This window comes from Homo sapiens, chromosome 6 (genome assembly GCF_000001405.40).
Source record: "Homo sapiens chromosome 6, GRCh38.p14 Primary Assembly".
NCBI classification, from domain to species: Eukaryota; Metazoa; Chordata; class Mammalia; order Primates; family Hominidae; genus Homo; species Homo sapiens.
Genome location: NC_000006.12, coordinates 150,111,477 through 150,116,441, shown reverse-complemented (window position 1 = coordinate 150,116,441; position 4,965 = coordinate 150,111,477).

Here is a 4,965-nt window from a genome sequence, read left to right as displayed (position 1 = left end):
GAACTGGGGCCAGTCTGAGCAGGCCAGCCCTGGGGAGCCAGAGAAGCGAGGCAGGAGCTGGGGGAGCACACAGCTGGCCCTGCCCAGGCCCAGGGGCTGAACTCTATCCACAAAGCCTGACTTTGTGGATAGGACGTTAGGCCAGAGAAGTCCAGGCCCAGGCAGGCCCGGTGTTGACTGTTGACCCTCAGAGAGGAACTCAGCTTCCAAGGAGGCTCAAAGGACTGGCATCCTCTTGTGTCCATTAGCCCCTGGTAAGAAGTGACAACGTGCTAGCAGCCCTCGCTCACTCTTGGTGCCTCCTCGGCCTCAGCGTCCACTCTGGCCGCGCTTGAGGAGCCCTTCAGCCGTCGCTGCACTGTGGGGGCCCCTCTCTGGGGCTGGCCAAGGCCGGAACAGGCTCCCTCTGCTCTCAGGGAGGTGTGGAGCGGGAGGCGCCGAAGCCAGCCGGGGCTGAGCGTGGCGCTTGCAGGCTGGTGCGGGTTCCGGGCTGGCACGGGCTCACGGGGCTCCCTCACTAGGCTCAGCCGGCCGGCGCCTGCTGGGCTTGATCCGGGACAAGCTCCCTCTGGGCTGCTGGAGTGCCTGGGCTAGGTGCTGCGAAGTCCCCCGGCGAGTGCCATTGAGAGGTGAAGCCAGCTGGGCTCCTGGGCTGGGTGGGGACTTAGAGAACTTTTCTGCCTAGCCAAAGGATTGTAAATGCACCAATCAGCACTCTGTGTCTAGCTAAAGGTTTTGTAAATGCACCAATCAGCGCTCTGTGTCTAGCTAATCTGTTGGGGACTTGGAGAACTTTTGTGTCTAGCTAAAGGATTGTAAATGCACCAATCAGCACTCTGTCAAAATGGACCAATCAGCTCTCTGTAAAACGGGCCAATCAGCTCTCTGTAAAATGGACCAATCAGTAGGATGTGGGTGGGGCCGGATAAGAGAATAAAAGCACTCCACCTGAGCCAGCGTCGGCAACCTGCGGGGGTCCGTTTCCACGGTGTAGGAACTGTTCTTTTTCTCTTCACAGAAAATCTTGTTGCTGTTCACGTTTTGGGTCTATACCAACTTTATGAGCTGTAACACTCACGGCGAAGGTCTGCAGCTTCACTCCTGAAGCCAGCGAGACCACGAACCCACCAGAAGGAAGAAACTCCAAACACATCTGAATGTCAGAAGGAACCAACTCCCGACACACCATCTTAAGAACTGTAACACTCACTGCAAGGGTCCGTGGCTTCATTCTTGAAGTCATCGAGACCGAAAACCCACCAATTCCGGACACACTGGGATTTAGAGAAGTGACCAGGATTTCTTCAGACCACCTGAGGCCATTGGCAATGGACACCTAGCCACGTTTAACCTTTTCACACAAAGTGAGCATCAGTAGACTAACCCTAGGAGGTTTCGGGTGGACACTGACAGGTGTTGGGCATGTCCTTATAACTGGAATTATTGACAATATCTTTCAAAAACTATCTGTGCAACAAGGAGCCAGGTGAAGATTTGGCAACTACAGTACCTCGCAGATTCAATCAAAGTCGATGAAGTATGTCTTCTTGCCTAAATAACCCAGTGTGGTTTTGAACGCTGAATCCATTAACCAAGTAGATCCTTCCACTTTCATTCTCTCTAAATTGTGTATCTTCATAGCAAATGATTTCCTTTTGAGATGACTTGTGTTCTTTAACTTTACAGGAAAGATGTGCAGTAGTTCCCGTGTTCCAAAGTTTCACTTTCCGTGCTTCTAGTTACCCACTGTCATGTACAATCCAAAAACATGACCTATGATAGGTGGCTTTGAGAGAAAGAAAGAGGCCACATTCACGTAATTTTTTTTTTTTTTTTTTTTTTTTTTGAGAAGGAGTCTTGCTCTGTCGCCCAGGCTGGAGTGCAGTGGTGTGATCTCAGCTCACTGCAAGCTCTGCCTCCCTGGTTCACCCCTATTCTCCCACCTCAGCCTCCCAAGTAGCTGGGACTACAGGTGCCCGCCACCACGCCCGGCTGATTTTGTTTTTGTGTTTTTAGTAGAGGCAGGGTTTCACCATGTTAGCCAGGATGGTTTCGATCTCCTGACCTCATGATCCGCCTGCCTTGGCCTCCCAAAGTGCTGGGATTACAGGCGTGAGCCACCGCCCCCGGCCCACGTAACTTTTATTACAGCATATTGTTATCATTGTTTTATTTTATTATTAGTTGTGGTTGTGAATCCCATACTGTGCATAGGTGTATGTGTACAGTTTAGGAAAAAACACAGTATATATAGAGCCCAGTATTATCGGCAGTCTCAGGCATCTACTGGGGATCTTGGAGCGTATCCCCCACAGGTAAGGGGGACTACTGTATACACTTCATATATTTGCTTTTTTAGAAACATCTTCTAGAGTAAATGAATGAATCCTTACAGCCTTTTACATCGTGTGTTTCATCCTCCTTGCCTGCAAAGCAACGCAGAATTTCTGCTAATTAAGGTAGCTCTAAATGTGCTGTTTAGAACTGTAAAGATTAATTGTAGTAATTATGCTTAATTGTGCCAGTGGGTAAAGGTAGTGGGGAGGACGGGTGGAAGGGGAGGGGAAAAGTCAGTGTCTCTGCCCTCAGCTGGGGGAGGCTGACTTTCTCAGTTGGCAGACACACCTTCTGAAACAGACAGATGTGGGCAAGGCCCCCTTTTCCAAAGCAGAGGGAAGCAGCCCATGACTTTGCTCTAGCCGAGCCTGTCTCCACTGTACTCGTCAGAAACACTCTGCCAAGTCAGCCTCTGCGACTCTGTCTTGGGCAAGTTAGCTTTGGTGGTTTCACCTGCACATTGAGACATTGGGCGTCAAGGGGAGACCCCTCACGTGGGGCTGTGTCTGGAGCTAGTTGTGCGATTACAGGAATGACTGACTCACATTCCCACCCCTCCCCCAGTGCAATGGAGACTTCACAGCTTCAGCCTTTTAGTGTCAAGGTTCTGGTATCTTGAGGCTCTGGTCTTGCACCAGTTTCGGTGATTTTGCACCCATTTCTCAGCATGTTGTTTCTACTTCTAGTATTGATGAAGCAAGTATTTCACAAGACGCTTCAAAGTCACAGTCTCCCCATTGAGGGGTCAGGCACGGTGGTGGCTGCAAAAGGCACGGAGGTCCGTGCTGACCTGGAGATGGATGGGTGCCTCTGAGTCTTCATGGTAGATGGAGTGCGTCTATGCGAGAGGTGCTTTGTCCTGGAAAGTTGCTGAAAGGGGGAAGAAAGGAGGCTGGGGGTGGAGTAGGGAAGGGAAGCGTGTCTCAGGGCAGTACCAAGGGTCCAGGTGCACCTGAAGCAGGAAACCAAGGCAGCTCTCTGCTGAGCGTCTGATCAAACCATGGTGATCTCACTTTATACCAATGATTGTTATTTCTACCATACACAGTCATACGCTATAATTGCCAAAAATGTAGAACTGAAACAACAAAACAATGGATTTGCAAAGAACCAATAAAATCAAACTTTTTGTGCCATGTAGTTACTTATTGCTATATAGCAAATTACCCCCAAAACATAGTGGCTTAAAATAGATATAAACATTTGTTACCTCGTATGGATTCCACAGATCAGGAATTTGGGAGCAGCTTGACTGGGCCGATCCAGCTTTGGGTCTTCCATGAATTACCATCAAGATGTCAGCTACAGGCCGAGTCTGGTGGCTCACGCTTGCAGTCACAGCACTTTAGGGAGCCAAGGTGAGAGGATGGCTTGAGGCCAGGAGTTCAAGACCAGCTTGGCCTAACACAGTGACAACTCGTCTTTTTTTTTTTTTTTAACTGCAATGGCTTCAATATCTGAAGGCTTGACTGGGGCTTGAGAGCCGGCTTCAGGAGGCTTCACTGGCATGGCGGGCAAGCAGGTGCTGGCTGTGGGCATCAATTCCCTGCCACATGGACCTTGCCACAGGGTTACTTCAGAGCCTCACAACCTGGAGGCTGCCTTCCCCCAAAGCAAGTGATCAGTAGAGCAAGCTGAAGCCACAGGGCCTTTTATAATCTAGCCATAGACGTCACACTGTGTCACTTCTGTTGTTGACACAGGACTGGTTGCTCTATTTAGCGTGGGAGGGGATGACACAAATGTGCAAGACCAGGAGGCGAGGATCGCCAGAGGCCATCTTGGAGGAGGGTTGCCACTCCAGGGAAAATGAAAGCTACCTAAGATCACAATTAACACATATGTGTTCTTGGGGAAAATGATCAACTGATATTTTCAGAACATCCAATTTTGTTCAAGTTTCAAATCCTTCATCCTGCATTTGAACCATATGTACTTTAGCAGAAGTGACTGAATGCCACTTTTCTTTCTGCTTTCTGCAACCAAAGCTCCATGGAATGCTCAAAGGTGTGATTTGCAGGAGTAAAAGGAGGCAGGAACTCCATCCTTCTCTTTTCTTGAAATGTATGTTCCAGTTGAAACTCACTGGAACATACATTACCACATGTTTGAAAATACCACCAGGATAAAAAAAAAAGTGCCCTTAATTAATAAATCAAGACTAGGAAATAATTGAAATTCAGCGAAACTCAGTTCTAATATAAAGACTAAAGGAGCAATTTGCTAACATGACAGATAGCATCAAACTCAGAGAAGTGAGAGCAGATACAGGGATGAGTTAAAAAAATGTTCTGATATTAACAAAGTCGCTTTCATATGATGTGACTGGGGCCCACGTGAGAGGAGGTAACATTATCTTCCCTCAAGTAGCAAGGCATTCAAGGAAACTTTCAATTAAATGCAGGCAGCATTTGTAGCAGAATGATTGTGTGCAACGCACTGTGCTGCTTACTTGCAGAGGAAATCTACACACAGAGAAGCTTGGTCCCAGTGCTCAGGGTGCTTAGCCCTCGGGGCAAGAGATAGACACAGGCACAAATAAGAGGAACCTGAGTGCCCACGGGGAAGTACAGGCAAGGGATTATGGGAGAGCTGAATGAAGATGACCCCAAGGAGGGCTTCCCAGAA